At 54.8% G+C, this 17,523-nt stretch overlaps 1 protein-coding gene across 2 annotated transcripts in view, besides 2 other annotated features; it reads right to left on the minus strand.

The window, feature by feature from the left end:
• Positions 5,662-6,162: an enhancer, noted in NCBI's record as "H3K4me1 hESC enhancer chr1:41968132-41968632 (GRCh37/hg19 assembly coordinates)". NCBI's record gives its function as "activates a minimal SCP1, AML or CMV promoter by ChIP-STARR-seq in naive H9 embryonic stem cells {active_cell/tissue: H9 hESC(naive)}" and the evidence as "EXISTENCE:reporter gene assay evidence [ECO:0000049][PMID:30033119]".
• HIVEP3 (HIVEP zinc finger 3) overlaps positions 9,566-17,523 on the minus strand; it is a 529,570-nt gene continuing 521,612 nt past the window's right edge. The window contains exons 7-8 of one of the 2 annotated variants that reach the window (NM_001127714.3): positions 16,017-16,951; positions 9,566-14,464 (exon numbers count right to left, since the gene is read on the minus strand). In NM_001127714.3, the coding sequence (NP_001121186.1) occupies positions 13,652-14,464; positions 16,017-16,951 (1,748 nt within the window). In that variant the 3' untranslated portion in view covers positions 9,566-13,651. Of the gene's footprint in view, positions 14,468-16,016; positions 16,952-17,523 lie in introns of both variants that reach the window. The other variant, NM_024503.5, reaches the window with a different exon arrangement.
• Positions 16,229-16,729: an enhancer, noted in NCBI's record as "H3K4me1 hESC enhancer chr1:41978699-41979199 (GRCh37/hg19 assembly coordinates)". NCBI's record gives its function as "activates a minimal SCP1, AML or CMV promoter by ChIP-STARR-seq in naive H9 embryonic stem cells {active_cell/tissue: H9 hESC(naive)}" and the evidence as "EXISTENCE:reporter gene assay evidence [ECO:0000049][PMID:30033119]".

Raw genomic sequence — 17,523 nt, forward strand, 5'->3', positions numbered from 1 at the left:
TGACGCTGCCCTGGGGAGGCCGTGTGGGGCCCGTCACCCCTTCTCCACATGGAGGCTGGTGTGGGAAGGAAGCGGGGGCTGGGTCCCCCAAGTCCTGCCTCCAGCTTGCGGGGTGTTTCCCTGAAGCCACTCCCCTCTCTGGGCCTGGGCCTGTCCAGTGGGAAATGGGATGACCCTGGCAGTCTTGCTCTTCCCCAGAGTCCTGGGCTGTGTAACGAGGTCTCCAGCCCAAAAGTGCTTTGGAAAGGAGTGTAACCACCTTGAGAAGTCTTGGCAAACTCCAGATGGCCACGCAGAGGGCCTTTTGCGGGTGCCAGGCTATGTCTGGATCTGACCGGTAACGCTGAGTGCTGGGCATTGCTGCTGTGGAAATGCAGGTGCAGAGGGGGTGACGTCATCTGCCCCCAGCCACGGGAGGACTGGCAGGGCAGTTAGAGCCCCAGGGCAGTTTGACTGGGCACCCCTTCTCCTGGATGGGTGAAGACCCTTCTCCTGGGGAATGGCGGGGTGGCTCCCACAGCTGCTGGACGCTGCCGACCGTCAGCCCTGGCAGAGGGAGTGGGGAGTCTTGAGGCTCCACTGCGGGCTGCTCTGAGAGGGTGCGGAAGCTGCTGGAGTCGGGGTCCCTCCTGCCCTGTGTGGCCTTGGGCACCACTTGCCTTTTGGGTACTCCTGTGACTGCTCTATCTTCACAGGAGGAATTCCATTTTAGCTTCCCCATCCCTGGTGGGGGGCAGCGACTAAATGGCCAAGTCTGAGCTTAGGACGGGAGGTTCCTCGGAATGGGATTTTTTTTTTTTTTTTTTTTTTTTTTTAGAGACTGGGTCTCGCTCTGTCACCCAGGCTGCTGAAGTGCAGTGGTGCTATCATGAATCACGCAGCCTCTAACTCTTGGGCTCAAGCGATTGGATGGAATTTTTTAATGCTGTCTTCCTTCCCCCTCATCTGCAAGATCCCTAACACCAGGGCATAGCAGCCCACAGTTCTGCCCAGCAAACAGGGCTGGAGCATGGGGGTCCCAGCTGGCCTGGGGGCCCTTTGCAGGAAGCCACCTTTGTCACCCTTGGCCTCAGGGACTCCGCAATTGAGCAGGTCCTCACTGGGGTCCTTGCCAGCCCCTGGGACTCAGTGTATTCTGGAACTCTCTGGCTTCTGTCCCTCTTAGGCCACATGTTCTATATGGGGGACATGGATGTCCTCTAAAGAGGATGACCTGTCTTTACACCAGGTCCTATCTTTCATGGCCTTGTTCATACCTTCATGTCTGTCCTCTCTTGGTACCCTGACCTGGTCTCCACCCAGCCTCAGCTGGCCCCCTGTGACTGGCACTGGTAGAAGAGGCTGAAGCCCCCCCGCCCCTCCCTCCCCGTAACCATTGGCTCTGCCTGACTCCTCCCTGTGTGGTGGTCTTACCCATAGATAGCATGGCTGCACCTTGGGCAAGGTTGATGCTGTAGGGGATGGGGAGGCTGCTCTCCTGTCTGGGGCCAGAGGTCCCTGCATTTGGGAGAGTGTCTTTCATTCTGCCAGCAATACCGAGGCCTCATTTGCAAACCTCTCTGCCAGGGTGTGAAATGTGCATGGAGGCAGAGACCACACAGCACAGTGGTTAGCTGCTGGGCTCTGAAGTCAGCCAGCTCTGGGACAACACTTCTCTGCACCTCAGATTCTGCATCCATAATTGGGGGGCCAGCTCCCCTTTGTGAGCATCCAGGGAGTCAGTAGATGCAAACATCTTAGAACACAGTGATGAGTCAGCGTGAGTCCCCGCAAGCCTGCACCTGGAGTGTTATAGTGACTTCCACATCATCTTTACCATCTCTCTTGACTGGAGTCAGTGACACCAGTCCTCCTCCTGTAAATCTCTGTGGTCATAGATTCTTCTGATTTCCCAGCAAGGAAGACTGCTCGGTGTGGCCCCTAACATCTCGCACTGTAGCCTAGAGAGCGGCAGAGCCCTGCCACATAGCATGGCTGGGGAGGTAGAACCTGGCCTCTGCCCCCGGTACAGAATGGTCTCTGAGCCCTTTTGACCTCCAAGTCTCAGAGACTCTGAGGACACAGGGTGACAGGAGAGACTGGAGCAAGCAAGTATCTGCACGTGCCCCACCCCCTGCAACTACACAATTCCTGGCACTCACGGGCCCCGCCTTGGCCTGGCACGCCTGCTTGGGTTTCTGCCCGTGTGGTTTCCCCTTGGCCTTTCTATCACGTCCGCTGGCAGAGCATCCCCAGCTGTCTGCATTCCTGTGCCATGAGGACGGCCACCTTGGGGCCAGGCCTGGCTAGGACGCCCCCTGAGAGTGGAAGCGTGTGTGCTGGCCAGGATGTGCAGGGACATAGCTTCAGGCACCTGCTTCTCCATGCTTGTGCATGGCTGTGCCCGTGTGTCCGTGTGTGCATAGGTCTGTGCATGCATTGGCAGGTATGCACAGAGTGGACACAGACAGCTGTGTGGATACACATGAGTGCCATGCAGTGGAGGCCTATGTGGGAGGAAACATACAAGCTCCTGGGGGCCCCACGGGCCTGTGAGTGGGGACCTGCACTCATGCATGATGGTGAGGCACGCATGTTTCCCATACCTGAGGGCCCTTGCATATGTGAGGGTCATGTACCCAGGTGTGGCCCTTCTCAGGTCAAGCTCACAGCCACAGGAGGAAGTTGGAGGAATTGAAAGAAGGGGGTCAGGATGAAATCAAACGCAGAGAACCCATTTGCCCAGCAGAGCTGGAAGCTTCCCACATATTCCCCTATTTACTCTCATACCAATCCCTGGAGGGATAAATGCGGGAGAAATGGCCCTCTCTGAGCCTCTCTGTTTGAAGTTAGGGTTAGGGTTATGGCTATTTGAGGCTCAAAGAGGGACCAGTCACTTGCCCAAGGTCACACAGCCTGTAAGTGGTGGAGCCCCTGCCAACTGTGTGTCTACCTGACTCTAGAAGCTGTCAGTCAGGGAAGGGAGGCAGAGGAGCTGCTGCCAGGGCCTGAGAACAGCAGAGACCTGTCCACTGTGTAGCCCAGGGCCCAGCAGGTCCTTTGGAAGATGAGAGCCTCTGAGTGGCCTACCCAGGCTACGTGCACCCTGGACCCCAGCTGCTACAGCTGGTTACTATTCTAATAAACATGTGTAGCCGTTGCTCTGTGCCAGGCCCTGGTGTAAGTGCTTTGCACACAACAATGCATCTAATTCTCTCTAATGCCCTAGGAGGCCAGTGCTATTATTATTCATTATTATTATACTATGTATAAGATTTATATTATGTGATATGTAATAATAATTATTAATAGACTATTATTATTCTTATTTTTAGAGATGAGAAACTGAGGCACATTAGGTAAAGTAACCTAACTGAAGTCCCACTGCTAATACCTGGCACAGCTGGGATTCCAGCCCATGCAGCTTGGCTCCAGGGTCCGAGGGCAGCCCCCAACACATGCCACTCTGACTGGCATCTCCTTGTGCGTGAGACAGAACCCGACCTCACCCTCTTTCTGCTGGGTGGTCTCTACATTCAGGCCCAAGGAAGTTGAGGGCTGGGTGCACCAGCCTCTTACCTCACAGACGGGGAAACTGAGGAAACTGTGTCTGTACTGGTATAGTGCCTGGGCCTTCAAAGGTACTCCCGGTGCCCAAGCAAGCGCTGACTTTGTCTGTTCCTCACTTGCTATGGGAGTTGAGACAAGTGCTTGCCCAGTTCCCAGGGAGAGCAGGTAGGAAGGAAGTCCTGAGAGGAGGCGGGGCAGGCCTGGCAGCGGGCACTGCGTGGGCAGGCCAGTGAAGGCGAGGCTGGGCCAGGGCTGAAGTCAAGGCTCTGGAGCCGGTTTTCCCAGGCTGTATCTGAGTAATCCTGTGTCTATATTTATCTCCTCCTTTCCTGGGTGAGCAAACAGAGCCTGATGCCAGCCAGGCCCGCCAACGCCCCCCCCCCATGCCAGCACGTTTCCTTCACCTGTAGGGTGGCCCTGGAGAACACCGCAGTCTTGGCCCTCAGTTCAGCTTGGCCTATGTAGGACACACAAAAGGGTGCTTGAACCCAGTGGCTTCTGTGAAGAATCTAATTGTCAGAGGTGGCCAGGGATTATCCAGTCTGGGTTGCTGCAGACATGGGCAGTCATAGCCTGGGCAGTGTCGGTGCATTGGAGGCCTGGGAAGCACCCTCTACTCTCAGCACTCAGGAACAAAGGGTCCTCTTATCTCAGATGTGTCAGACATGCCTTTCATTCCCGCATTCACACGTTGCTCTAGATGTTGGTCCCATTTCCCTCCAGGATGGTAAATTCCAAGAGAAGGTCTGCGTGCCCAGAGGTCTAGAACACAGGCTCTAGAGTCAGACTGCTCTGAAGCTGGATCCTGGCACCCTGACCTTAAGCTAATAACCTCTTCATGACTCTATTTCCCTGCTTGTTAAATGGGACCCAATACTTCCTACCTTCCAGGGATCATATGAGTGTTAAGTTAGAGGCATTATGCGCTGACAGATTGGATGGGCTGTGCTGGGGAGGGGCTGTCTGTCCCCACCTGCAGGCCACAGGGGACATACACACATGGCTCTCACAACAGGCACACACTAATGGATACCCCTACTTTTGAGAGGAACATGCGGCCTGAACCCAGGGTGGATTAAGTGGGTTGGAGCTTGATCCCTGGGAAGACCCCAGAAGTTGCAGAAGCCGGATACTAACTTTGCTGAGAGCCTCTTCAGAGGTGGAGGAGGCAGGCTAGGTGGCCATTGTCAAGAGATGATGCAGCGTGGACCAGGCCTAGGTGTCATCACCCTGGACCCTCGCCAGGATCACCATGGCTAGCTAAGCCCCTGCCCTGACTCTGGCCTCTGCCCTGGTGGTGCCACCTCCCTGACCTTGGAGCGGCCTGGGTCTGGTGCACGTGCACGGCAGGCCCATCTGCTCCCAGGCTGGATTAGGCAGAGTCCGAGGACGTGCCGGGCTGGCAGGCTCAGGGGCGGGGCGGGCGCTGGTGCTGGGGCTGCCCTATGCCAGCTCAGGCCTGGGCTGTGGCAAAGCCTTTTATGGCTCTGGCGGAGAGCTCAGCCGGCAGCACCCATTGGCTGGACTGGCACTCCCAGCTGGGGCTGCCCAGCCCCAAACCACGGGTAACTAGAGACGCCGGGAGCAGGTGGATTAGCATGCCCGCCCGCCCGCCTGCCCGCCCGCCCCAGGGCTGTTCTTTTCCTTTCCTAAAAAGGCAGAGCTGGGCAGGAGAGACGGACAGTTGAACTCAGGCCTGGGGTAGAGGAGGGATGGGTGGGGTGGTGCAGGTGGCTTTGTTGAGGGATCGGGAATCACAGCCCTGACCTTGGGCCAAGCACTTCCCAGCTCTGGATGTCAGTTTTCTCATCTGGAAGGGAAGCAGTAGGCAGCGGGGTCCCCCTGAAGTAGGTGATGCCTGGAAAGGACCGAGGAATATGCATGTTGGGGTCCCCCAGCCCCAACCCAGGTTCCAGGGCTGCTTAGTAGCAAAGAGGCCCAGATTCTCTTTCCATAGGAAGCTAACCACTTCCCAAATATCGGGACCTGGTTTCAACTCCTGGCCCTGACACTTACCATGATGTCCTTGGGAAAGCAGTGTCACCACTCTGGCACCCTGAACCTGGGCAAATAACTTCACTGTGACTCAATTTCCTTGCGTGTTAAATGACGCTGATACTTCCTACCTTCCCACTCTAGAATAGATAATGAGGTTATAAGGCATCTCCTCCCAGGGTCTCCTGAGCAGTGCCCATAATGAATCCCAAGAAGCACAGCCCCATCTGCACCCTCTTCACCTGCTCTCTGTCCTCCACCAGCTCTTCCTTCTTCTCTGCACTCCTGCCCATCTCAGGCTGGCCCATCCTATCTACAGTGGCCCACACCCCACCGGAGTCTCCAGGACAGAGTGTGGCCTCCAGGTTCTGAGCCCAGAGAGGACCCAGGCCTAAGGGTGAGTGTAGGATCCCCGAGTCCTGCATCCCCAGCCCAGACTTGGACTTGGACCCAGACAAAGCTTGGTGAAGGCCTCAGCAGCAGCCAGCAGTGGCCACCACCCTCTGAGGCTGGGGTCAGGGGGACAGGTGAGTGGTCCTGCCACTTGCCAGGGTGTGATCTTGGGCTCTCCCCTTCATCTGCAAATGGGAGTGTGCACCCTGTCCTAGTCCACTCCAAATGGGAAAGTGCTTCATGAACCTCAGAGAGCAGCCTGGGAGGCCTGCTGGCCAGCGATGTGTGAATGATTGGTGGGCCTTGGGCCTGTTGGCAGCCAGTGGAGGAAAGAATTCACAGGCACTTTTCACGCTCTCAGTTACTGGAATCTAGGCCCTGGTGTCGGCTGGTCATTCCTTGCACCTGTGGCCTCAGGCACAGGGACCTAAAATGGCTACCAGATGGCCATACTGACAAGTCAGGAGGCTGCTGGAGAGAAGCCCCAGCTGGACCCTGAGTGGTCACAGCTGGACAGTCTGAGATTCCGGGCTCCCCTGGAGCCCGAGTGTGAGATGGGAGGAGGAGGGAGGACCTCAGTTTCCCTGAAGGACTACATGGGAGCCACACAAGGGTTTTCTAGTCCTCATACTGCCCCTACCTAGCTGTGCACCTTCGGCTCCTGGGGGCCCTTTGGAGCTTCTGTTTTCCTCTCTAAAAATGGGGACAGTAACTCTCATCTTGCTGGTTGTTGTAGGGACTACAAATCAAATTTGTAAAATGCTGGACACTGGGCCTAGCACATACTATGCTATTCTTCTTCTCCTTCTGGGGCTGATGCGGGGGGTCTACTTCCCCACTGGCCTAGACTGAGACATGCCCCCCGCATGACCCAAGGACGTGCTCCCCAGGCACCTGCTCCAACGATGGCTCTTCGTCCTATGATTCTAAAGCCAGCTGCCACGTTTGCTCCCAGGGCCTCTTCTGAACTGTATTTTTTTCACTCACTCACTGTAAAAATCCAGCACCTTTGAGGCTAACACTGTCAGGCCCTCCTCCCTCCCATCGCTGACATCTGCTCATCTCCTCTTCCAATTCTGAGAAGTCCTAGCCTTGTATGATTATCATTACGGCTGTTTCCAATTATTCTCATTCTCCTTCATTAGGCATGACCACGTGACTTGCTTTAGCCAGCAAAATATGCATGGAAGGGATAGTTGTAGTTTCCACGTAAAAGCATTTACTTGCCAGTAGGAGGCCACGAGTACTGTATTTGCCTCAGCCCCTGGGGTCATGGAAGCACAGGGAAGGAGCCTCTATCAGTTTAGGTTTCTGACTAGGATAAGCATAATTCCCCTGCTGACCCACAGTGAACATATAGTGAGGGAAAGAAATACACTTCCCTTTGCATTCAGCCACTGAGTGTCTGGGTTGCTGGTTTCTGCTGCGTAACAGAACCCATCCTGACTGTTAGGCCTTGGCTCACAGCCCGGATCTCCACTTAAGCCCTGCAATCCTCAGTGATGGCCTCATCTGCCACCTGCACAGCCCACTCAGCACCCTGGACTCTCACTTCCTGATCTCTTTCATCGCACCTCAGCCACACCTGTGGCTGACACGGTCTTCATCCAACGAGTTAAGACAACTCACAACATTTTCCTGTTTTCATCCAAGTGGTCACTTGACCACTGGCCTTTCTCCTTATCAACCAGGCCTCTTTGTTCCCTTCTCAGCGTGTGGGCTCAGTGGCTGGTGGCTTCAACCTCTTCACTCGCCAGTGACTCACCTCCAGTAACTCATTGTCCTTGTGTCCCATGGCCTGGCTAACCCTGGGCCACCTTCCCCATGCCTACAGCCAGCGGCTGAGGACTGCTGGAAAAACCACACCGCTGAGCAGACAGAGGGCAGCCGGCCCGTGATGCTATGCAGGTGCCTTCCCTGTTTCCCTGGCGGCTTCCTCTGGCTCCCCTCAAAGGTCATTCACTCCTACTCAGGTGTCTTTGATCTTCTCACCCAGCAGCTTCCTCAGGTGACTTCACTCTATTTCCCACATACAATCCATTCTTAAGAGTGTCCTCAACTTCCCGTCACCAAATAGACACACTGACTTCATCTGCACTTCCTCCCTCCCCTCCTTTTAGGCCACTGTGGGAGAGGAGTCTACATCTGCTCTTCATCAAGCCAGGCTGAATTCTCATCTCCTCACCAGCCAATCACACACTCAGCTTCCTTTCCCTGCACTCCACGCGCCCCCCAACAACTGCCCCAGCTCTCCCCTGTCTCTAGCCTAGGCCCCTAGAAGGTGTCTGTGTCTGCTACCTCCACTTCCCCACCTTGCCCTCACTCCTCAACCACCACCATCCACAGCCACCATTTATTCACTCAACACTCAGCAGCATCTATGAAGGGCCCACTGTGCGCCAGGAACTGTACTAGTCCAGCTTTCCCAAAAGCCGGCAACAATTCATCCTCTGATTGCTTTGAACGAACAGACCCTCTTAGGCTCTTAGCACTAAACTTCTGGACGGCGTTTACCCTGAGAATCCCCCTTGATCGTCCATTAATATCTCCTTCTCATGGCTCCCTTCGTCCTCCCGACCCTTAGGACTTTTCCAAGGAAAAGTCCCCTGGGTGATGCAGACTCACTCTGGATTAGCACTGTCATTCTCTTCCACCACAGCAGTGATGGCCGCTGTGATTGAGTAACTGATGATGGCCTCCCCTGCTACAATGTGAGCTCCTCGTGGTGGATCTGTGTCTGTCTTGCTCGCTGTTGTATCAATGACTGCCTCTCGTTGGCACTCGGCAAATCATTGCTGAATACAGAAGGTGAGGACTCCCTATCTTTTCCGCCCGTGTAACCCCAGAACCCTGTGCAAAGCCTGCTCGGAAACAAATTGTTGAAGGCTTACTATGTTCCAGGCTGTGTTAGCCACCCTGTATATGCCATCTCATTTAATCCCCACGCCAGCCCTTATAGATGTGGATCATGACCCTCCACTTTACAGATTAGGAAACAGAGGCACAGAGAGGTTAGGTGAGTTGCCCAAGGTCTCACAGGCAGTAAGCGCTGTGCCTCCCCCACTGCCAACACTCAAGAACCAATTCACTACTCATCTTGAAGTGAGGTGAATGGGGGTCCCCCCGAAAGTTAAGTTTATGTCCTAAAGCCTGGAATCTGTGAAAGTGGCCTTGTGGAGGCAGGGTCTGGAGTGATGAGTGTATAAACCAGGGAAGGCCAAGCATTGCCTGCAGCCACCAGAAGCTAGGAGGGGCATAGAATTGATTCTCCTTCAGAGCCTCCGGGAGGAATCAACTTTGCCAACACCTTGACTTTGGAGTTCAGGCTTCCAGAACTGTGAGAGAATAAATTTCTGTTGTTTAAAGCCACCTAGTTCGTGGTGATTTGTCACAGCAGACTAGGGAACAAATACAGGCCCCAAACCACATGGTGCTATATCTGGTGCTTCCTCGCGAGGCCTTTCCAGGGTCTGCAAGAGTGTCCTGGGCTGTGTGACCGCAGCCTAGTCACCTCCGCTCTCTTGGCCTGACTGCTCTGAAGCAAAATGAGCACTTGGGATGCCAAGTATCCTTCCAACTCTGACATTGTGGAACCCTCTAGAAAAACCATGAGCCAGGCAAGCAGGGCTATGTTGGGATTTTCAAATTTATTCCAACATGCTAATTCTTTTTTTTTTAAAAAATATCCTCAGGCTGAACACTCAGCCAGAGCTGTAATAAAGGCAATTATTATACTTGTAAAAACTTCTCATTCACAGTACAGATGTAATTTACAACAAAGGTCACACACATCAATACTGAGCATTTTTCCTTTTGTACGTCAGACTCTGTGCTTTAGACCTGCGTGGATTTTTGTTTTTTTTTTTTGTTTGTTTCTGTTTTGTTTTTTCTTTTGCACTGATATATACCATACCAACATTGCAAGATGCAAGTGTGGAAACTGGAGTTTAAATAAAATTACAGGCAAAACTACCCCATCCCAGTGCGGTTGCTGTACATATCTACAGTACAATTTTTGGAATGTATTGCCATTTAAGAACATAGAAACTTTCTACAGACAATTTCACATACAGAATACGTACACCTTTTAGAAAAAAAGGCAAATATTTATCTTACAGAGAGCATTGTATTTTACATTTGCCTGCACGTTTCTTTTTTCTGTTTCTTTTCTTTCTTTCTTTTTTTACATACTAGATTTATTAAAGTGACCATAAGTGCCGAAGCGGTTTTCTAATGGAAAGCAGACTGGATTCACAACACAGAAGCAGAATTGGTGGAACAGGCTTTCGGGAACTTTCTTCCCCTGGTCACACGGCAGATCGGTCCCCAAGGACAGGTGCTCAGCCAGGACTTTTGCTTTAAGAAGGATTTGTCTGGAGAAAGGACTAGAGAGAAATCCAGCTCAGATGTATTGCTCATTCCTCTTCAGAAGGACTGGGTGGGAATGGAGCAGGGGCTAGAGGAATCTGGAAGCTAATTCTTTTAGGCTTTTTCCAACAGAGGGAAGCAGAGGGACTTCTGGGTCTGGAAGTTGGAGCTTACGGAGGCGACAGTGCAGGCAGCTGGCTGCTGTCGGGCTCCTGGAGGGTTGCAGGGGTTGAGCCCAGAGTGAGAGCCACAGGTGCGGGCGGGAGCAGAGAGGAGTGGGGTTACTACCCAGGATGGCCCTGAGATTGCCAAGGGTGAAAGGCATCGTGGAGCGCAGGCCTGGGGGGCAAGGACTCACCAACCAAAGGCAAGGTTTGGCTCTGAAACCTCGACCAGTTGGTTCCTCCCCCACTGCCCACACCCAAGGACCAGGACTAGTCTGTACCGAGGAATGGCCACCCCGCGCATTTCAACAGAGCACGTAGCAGGCATCTGTGCCAAGTCAGCCACTGCCTCCTCTGCTGCTTCCCTCAACAGGCACAATAACATCACAGGCAAACAGGAAGCTTGGAAGTGACTGGGAGCAGGGCAGAAGGCCCAGAGGAGGGCGTGCATGGGGCGAGCGTCTTTCTCCAAATCATGAAGGTGTACCTGTGGGCTGGGGGCTCTGTGCGCAGAGGAGCGGGACTAGAGTCCGGAGGAGGGGGTTAGAGCTGTGCCCAGTGACATATACCCAGGCTGGTGGCATTGGTTCTGTCCCTCTGGGCACGGCATCAATGTGGAGGCAGCCCTTTGGTGAGATTCTATTTGTGCATTTACCCCCATCATTTAGAAATAGTCTCCAGTGACTCCTGGCCCCTGTGGCTTCTCTGCCTGAGCCTGACGGGCCCGGTGACTGCCGGGCCTCTGCCCTGCCGGCTGCACTGTTCATTGCTAGGCTGCCCAGGGAGGAAACCTTGGGTGGGTAGGCTGTTTGAGTACAGGGAGAAAAATGCCCAGGAGAGCTGGAAGGCAGGGTGGGGTGGAGTGGTGTGGGGCCCCCCACCAATGTCAGGGGCTAGTCCACCAGAGCCCCCGGTCTGCTGCTTTGTAGGTCTGGGGCAGGAAGAGCTTGCCCAGGCAGATTTCTAACCTGGGCTGAAGCAATGCCCTTTATGCAGCTCCCAGACCTCAGCCCTTGAAGTCTCCAATCCGTGGGCAGTCCCATGGGTTAGGGCTGAAAGGCAAGGATGAGAAAAGCCCTGGCCTCCTGGGACTTGGAGGAGTCACTTTCTGTCAGGCCACTGTCCAGCAATATGGACAGTGTGGTCCAGGCTGGGCTTGCTGCTTCTCTTGGGGAGGATGAGAGCCCTAGTCTCTGAGGGAAGCAGCCAGGAGCTGCTGGCTAACCCTGATTCCCCAGAACCCTGGAGCACAGTGGACTCCCAGGGAGCCCTGCCTTCTGTCTCATTTTTGTCTTAGCTCTGAGGCAAAGGAGAATGAGTGAACAAGGTGGTCTGGCTGCAGGCTGGACTGTGGCTGGTTTGTCTGTCTAGTAGGGACCAAGCAGGGAAAGGCCACGAATTGGAAGAGGCAAGTACAGCCCCGCACAGGGAACTCACAGAAGGGTCTTAACCCTCCCCACCTACTGTGTCCTGTACCCAAGCAGCTTCAATAGCTCAAGAGCCCTGGGGCAGGCACTTGATTCACACAGCCTGGCTGAGGACTGGGGATTAGCCAGAGAGGTCCCTGCTCTGTATAGGGTGGCATCAAACCCAGCCTTCACGGGCCTCAACCGTAGTCCCTGTGCTGCCCTCCCTTGTAGAAAGTAAAGAAAATCAGTTCTGAAACACTGGGAAAAAGCTCACCTCTCCCAGTTGGGGCGAACACGCTAGAGTTCAAGTTCCATAGTTCAATTTGGGATTTAAATTTCTGGTCCTATTATTTTTCTTACAAAGTAGAGTTTTGCCCCAGGAAATGCAGGGCAGCTTCTTGAAAGTAGAGATGTGGGTAAGGAAGAGGCACTGGCTCACACTGATTGCTTTGGAGAATTCCAACGAGTTAGGACAATTCAAAAATCCTCTAGGTCAAAAGAATCTGTGGTGGCTGGGTGAAGTATCAAACACCATCCTCTCTCTTTTTAAAAAAGAGGTGTAAGACAGCAAACAGGTCCAGGCCGTATCCACCAGCCACAGTTGTGGGTATTTCCTTGGGGTAGTGGAGACAGGGGCAGGGACGGGGGGAAACGGTCCTGTGGCAAAGTGGTCCTGAAACAGTTCCCCGCAAACCTCTGCTGTGGAGAACTGGAAAAACCCAGCCATGAGGGGAACAGGCTCCCTTGTACCCCAGGGACCAAGATGAAACAAAACCCAAAACCCAGTCTCAGGAACGGCCGCTAGGGCTCGGGCCCTGCCACTTCTGCCTTTGTGGGTGGTTTGGTGGTTTTAGAACAGAGGAGGCAACAGGAGAGTGAGGCCTCGGTCAGGGGCTTGGGAGCCAGGGACGGACAGTCAGGGCTCCTTCCCCAGCCCAGGGGGCCAGGGTGGGGTGCAGAAGGGAGGTGTCTGGAGTGGGGGTGCGTGGGTGGGGTGGCCTGCCCACCTGTGGAGTGCCAGGATGGGCCCATGACTCAGACTACCAGAGTATCCAGGAGCCCTTGGGGAGCCAGCCCTCCTCCTTCTACCTGCACCTATTATTTTGTGTTGAAATCCTAGGAAAAGTATCATTTTATTTTCTTGCAAAAAAAAAAAAAAAAAAAAAAAAGGAAAAGATTAGTTTTTCTGGGCCTGCCTGCTGGGGCCTGGGTGGGGGTCACCTGCCTGTGTTTGTGCCCCTCTGCCTGGGGACACTGGCCTTTCTGCTGGCAGAGAGGGGTGGCTACGAGCTGGGCAGGGGGGTGAAGTGGCAATAAACAGGAACCTTGATCGCATCTGTACACAGGAGTGCTTCCTTTTACATTTAATTCTATATTGTTTGAAGTTTCCTTTTCCTTTCTCCCTCAGTGTACCCCTTTCCCTCTGCCAGCCTCTGGGGTGGGTGGCTGCCAACCACAGCGGGGAGGGTCAGGAGGCTTCACCATCAGCCTTTCCCCAAAACCATAAACTATTCACAGCCTCAGACTCCTCGTGGGTTGTTGTTTTTTTTTTAAATGTATGTATGTGATTTGTTTTGTTTCTTTTTAAGCAACAAAAGGTGTAGAAAAAGGCACAGGTAACTGCATACATGGGAAGGTACAACAGATGGGGCCGTGAGAGCTCCTGGACGGAGGGACAGATGGGGCTGAGGAAGTGGGATGATTCGAGGAAAGTGGCTGGAAACGTCTGTTGCTGGACACTGGAAGCCAGATGCTGAAGCAGTTGGAGAGAGGCTAAGCGTTGGGGGGAACCCTGTCCTCAGGCTGATGTGGATGTGCCCTGGGCTCCCCACTTCCTGAGGGCTTGGGGGAGTCCTGCCTGGTCCTGGGTTCCCCGGAGAGGTTCCTCGTCCGGGCTGGGAAGCGGGCAGAGGCCTCTGCCAGGCAGCCCACAGAGCTGCTGCGGTCCAGCGGCGGGGTGGCAGAAGGCTCGGGGTTGGTCGGTGCACGCGGGGACTCCAAGCGGGGGCTCCAGGACTGCGCTGCCCGGCGTCCCTGGGGCGGCCGGGGCAAGGTGTCGGGTGGGGTGCAGGGGCTGTGCGTGGGTGTGGGCTCTGCAGGTGCCCCGGTCCCATGGGGTGTCCAGTCAGGAGGCCTGCCCGGGCCTCCGCCGGTCCTCTCCCTCTCCTTGGGGTAGTCCCCGCCCTCCAGCTCTGAGGAGAGTGTGAATTTGGAGACCTTAGCCACAGGCGACACGGAGGCTGACGAGCTCTCAGTGGGACTCCAGCGGCCTCGCTCCTGGGCCTCCCGGGCCCCTGTCAGGTCGCTGCCACCCCCGGAGAAGCCACTGACCCAGGCTGCGGTGGGCCCTGGCAGCAGGGTGGGGTGGGCTCCTGGCCGGGCCTGCACCATCTGGATCCCACCGATGGGAATCAAGGGACATGGGGCACGGGTCAAGTGCTGGGAGTGCAGAGGCAGGTGGCTGAAGATGTTCTCCTCTGTCCGGGCCAGGATGTGGCCGTGGAAGTCATGGAGGGCGGAGAAGGGTCGGGAGGAGAGAGGATGAGCAGGGCCGGGTGAGCAGGAGGGACTTCGGGACTCGGCCTTCTGCTGGGGTCAGAAAACAAGACAAGGTAAGGTGAAGGTTACATGCTGGGCACATGGGGAGCCGAGGCCTGGAAGTGGGAGGGGGACTCGCCCAAGATCACAGAGCGAGTCCAGGGTCCCGGCTGAGCTGAGCCCAGAACCAAGTTCCTGACTCCCTGCCCACAGATGCTGAGCCAGCTGCCATCTCTGGAATGGGCCATCTCCAGCTCGACAGTGACCATGAGTATGCTCAGGCCCCATGGTCTCCATGCCTCTAGCCAGCATATCTGTCTTCAAAGGAGGGGATACTTGAGCGACGTGGGGCCCTGTTGTCACCCATGAGCCTGGCCTCTATGTGGGTCTGCTGCCTGTCCTGTTCCTAAAATGGTCTTCACCCAGCTTCACTCTTGGACATGAGTTCCCACCTGAGGCTCTTTGCCCTTCTGCTACCTCCAGGAATTTGAATGTGAACCCAAAATTAAAAATCAAGGAAAGATTCCTAGATCAGTGTTCCTCCAGGAGTGACAGGGCTGGGTCATGGCAACACGGGGACAGAGAAGGTGTCGGAAGGGGGTCAGCTGACAATGATGGTGCTATCGGTGGAGGGGTCATGGCAGCTGAGGGGACAGGGATGGTGACTGTGCTCATGGGGTGGCAGCAGTGGTGTGTTGGTGCAATGGTGACAGTGGTGGTGCTGGCCATGGGGATAGTGCTGATGGTTGACAAGGATGATATTGGTTGTGGTGTCTCTGAGAGCACTGGTGACAGTGATATTGGAGATGGTGATGGTTTTGGTTAAGTTGTGCCATCTGCTCAAAGAACACAGGCAGATGGGGATGGGGTGGGGGATGGGGAATTGCACGAGTATTTACAACCTCATCCAAGGCCACACCCCTTGCAAGTGATATGATATCGTTTGGATATTTGTCCCCGCCCAAATCTCGTGTTGAATTGTAAACCCCAGTGTTAGAGGTGGGCCTGGTGGGAGGTGTTTGGGTCATGGGGACGGATCCCTCAGGGCCTGATACTGTCCTCCAGATAGTGATTTCTCATGAGATCTGGCATTTTGAGCGTGTGGCACCTTTCCCCCAACTCTCTCTCTTGCTTCCACTCTGCCATGTGAGATGCCTGTTCCCGCTTTGCCTTCTGCCATGAGTAAAAGCTGCTTGAGGCCTCCCCAGAAGCCGAGCAGATGCTGGCACCACGCTTCCTGTACAGCCTGAAGAACTGTGAGCCTATTCAACCTCTTTTCATTATAAATTACCCAGTCTCAGGAATTTGTTTATAGCAATACAAGAACGGACTAATACGTGGTAGAACCCATTTCCCATGAACTCCAGAGTCCATGCTCTGTGCTTCTGAGGCTAAAATAAAGTTTAATAAGCCAGCTGATTTAGGGCAGCCAGCATGGTGCATGGCACAGTAGGTGCCTAATAAATGTTTGCGAAATTATTAATAACTACTGAGCTGGCAGAGCTGTTTAGTTCCAGGTGTGATACCCAGGAGGGTGTGAACTTGCAACCCCTGCACCCACAGGGGAGAAGCGGCCCAGCCACCAGGGGCAGGAACTCACCCACGGGGAGGCGCAGGTCTCTGGGCTTCTGCTGAGGAGCTTGTGAGGTAGAGGCGCGGGCGGGAAGAGAACCCGTGGGTCCAGCCCCAAGCCTGGGCCATGCTCCCCCGCTGAGGGGCTGCCCGGCCCAGCCAAGGCCCACTTCCCTGGCGGCGCTGACCGTGGTGGTGACTCGGCCTGACCTGGAGACCATCTCCTGGTGGGCGAGTATCTGGGGAGGCCTGGGTCGGTGGTACCCTCGAGTTTGGAGAGCACATGTGCTCGAGGGGCCAGTTCTCTTCCCAGGGGGCAGAGGGTGAGAGGAGACAGCTGAAGTCTTGGAGACCCACAAGGGAGAGCGCCCATGCCCCTTCCTGGGTCCACGTGCAGGCCAGGTGGGCTTGGGGCTGAGGCCTGTGGTTCTCGGGCCGGGGAGCATCGCTGGGGAGATGAGTCGTTTTTGGTTAGCGAGTGTTTGCGGGCTAGTGGTGGACGGCTGCCTGCTTCTTTGCTTGGGGACCACGGTCTTCTTGGGGACACAGGCTTGTAGCTCAAGGCTGAGCCTGTGTCTTTCTCCACAGAGCCCAGAGGGGCCGGTCCCAGCCAGGGGAGGCCCGGCATGCTCTGGCTGGACATGGAGCAGCTGCTGGCTGTCAGGCGCTCAGCTTCCGAGACCGAGCTGCCTCGTGTAGCCTCCGTGCCAGAGGCGGGGGCATCTGGGGGCTGAGGGCCCAGGATGGGTGAGGAGTCTGCCCGCAGTGCATGTGGTGGGCCAGGCGGGGGCGCCTCTGAGGATGGTCTGGACAGCTCATCCTGGCTCTCCTCCTCATCCTCATCCTCGTCTTCGTCCAGGTCTGAGTCTGAGTCCGAGTCCTCCAGGTCCGAAAACTGGTGCTCCTCCACAGCCTCTGAACCCTCTCGTCCTTCCGAGTCCTGGAACAGGTCGTCACTGGTTCCTGAGGGCAAACACAGAAGACCCAAGGTCACAGTTGGGCCTTGGCCCCACTGCCCACACGGCTGCTCCTCTCTGAGCCCCAGTTTCCTTGCCTGCTGACTGGGCAAAATAGCCATCGCAAGGGCACAAGATTGTTGGGACAACCAAGAAACGTAACAGATATGGGAGCGCTTTGTAAATAATAATGAACAATAATTCCCTTATGCCTAGAATGTGCAATGTTCAGTTCTGAGAGCTTTAGGTATATTTATTCATTTAGACCTCAGAGAATCCTGTGAAGCTGGTACTGTTCTCATCCTCATGTTACAGATGAGGAAACTGAGGTAAGAGAAAGTAAGTAACTTGCCCATGGAAGACAGCAGTAGGGCTGGGATTGAGCCATAGCAAAGAAGACAGTCTTTGTTTGTTTGTTTGTTTGTTTGTTTGTTTCACTAGCATCTCAGTGCTGGCTTCACCATGGGCAACTTACCACCTTGCTCTGCTTGGTCTCCCCCTTTGTCGAATGAATGTGATGGTCTCACCTCACCAGGTTTTCTAGGAGGACTAAAATGAAGGCCTGGCACATATTGAGGG

The sequence above is a fragment of the Homo sapiens genome, chromosome 1 (assembly GCF_000001405.40).
Source record: "Homo sapiens chromosome 1, GRCh38.p14 Primary Assembly".
Taxonomy (NCBI): domain Eukaryota; kingdom Metazoa; phylum Chordata; class Mammalia; order Primates; family Hominidae; genus Homo; species Homo sapiens.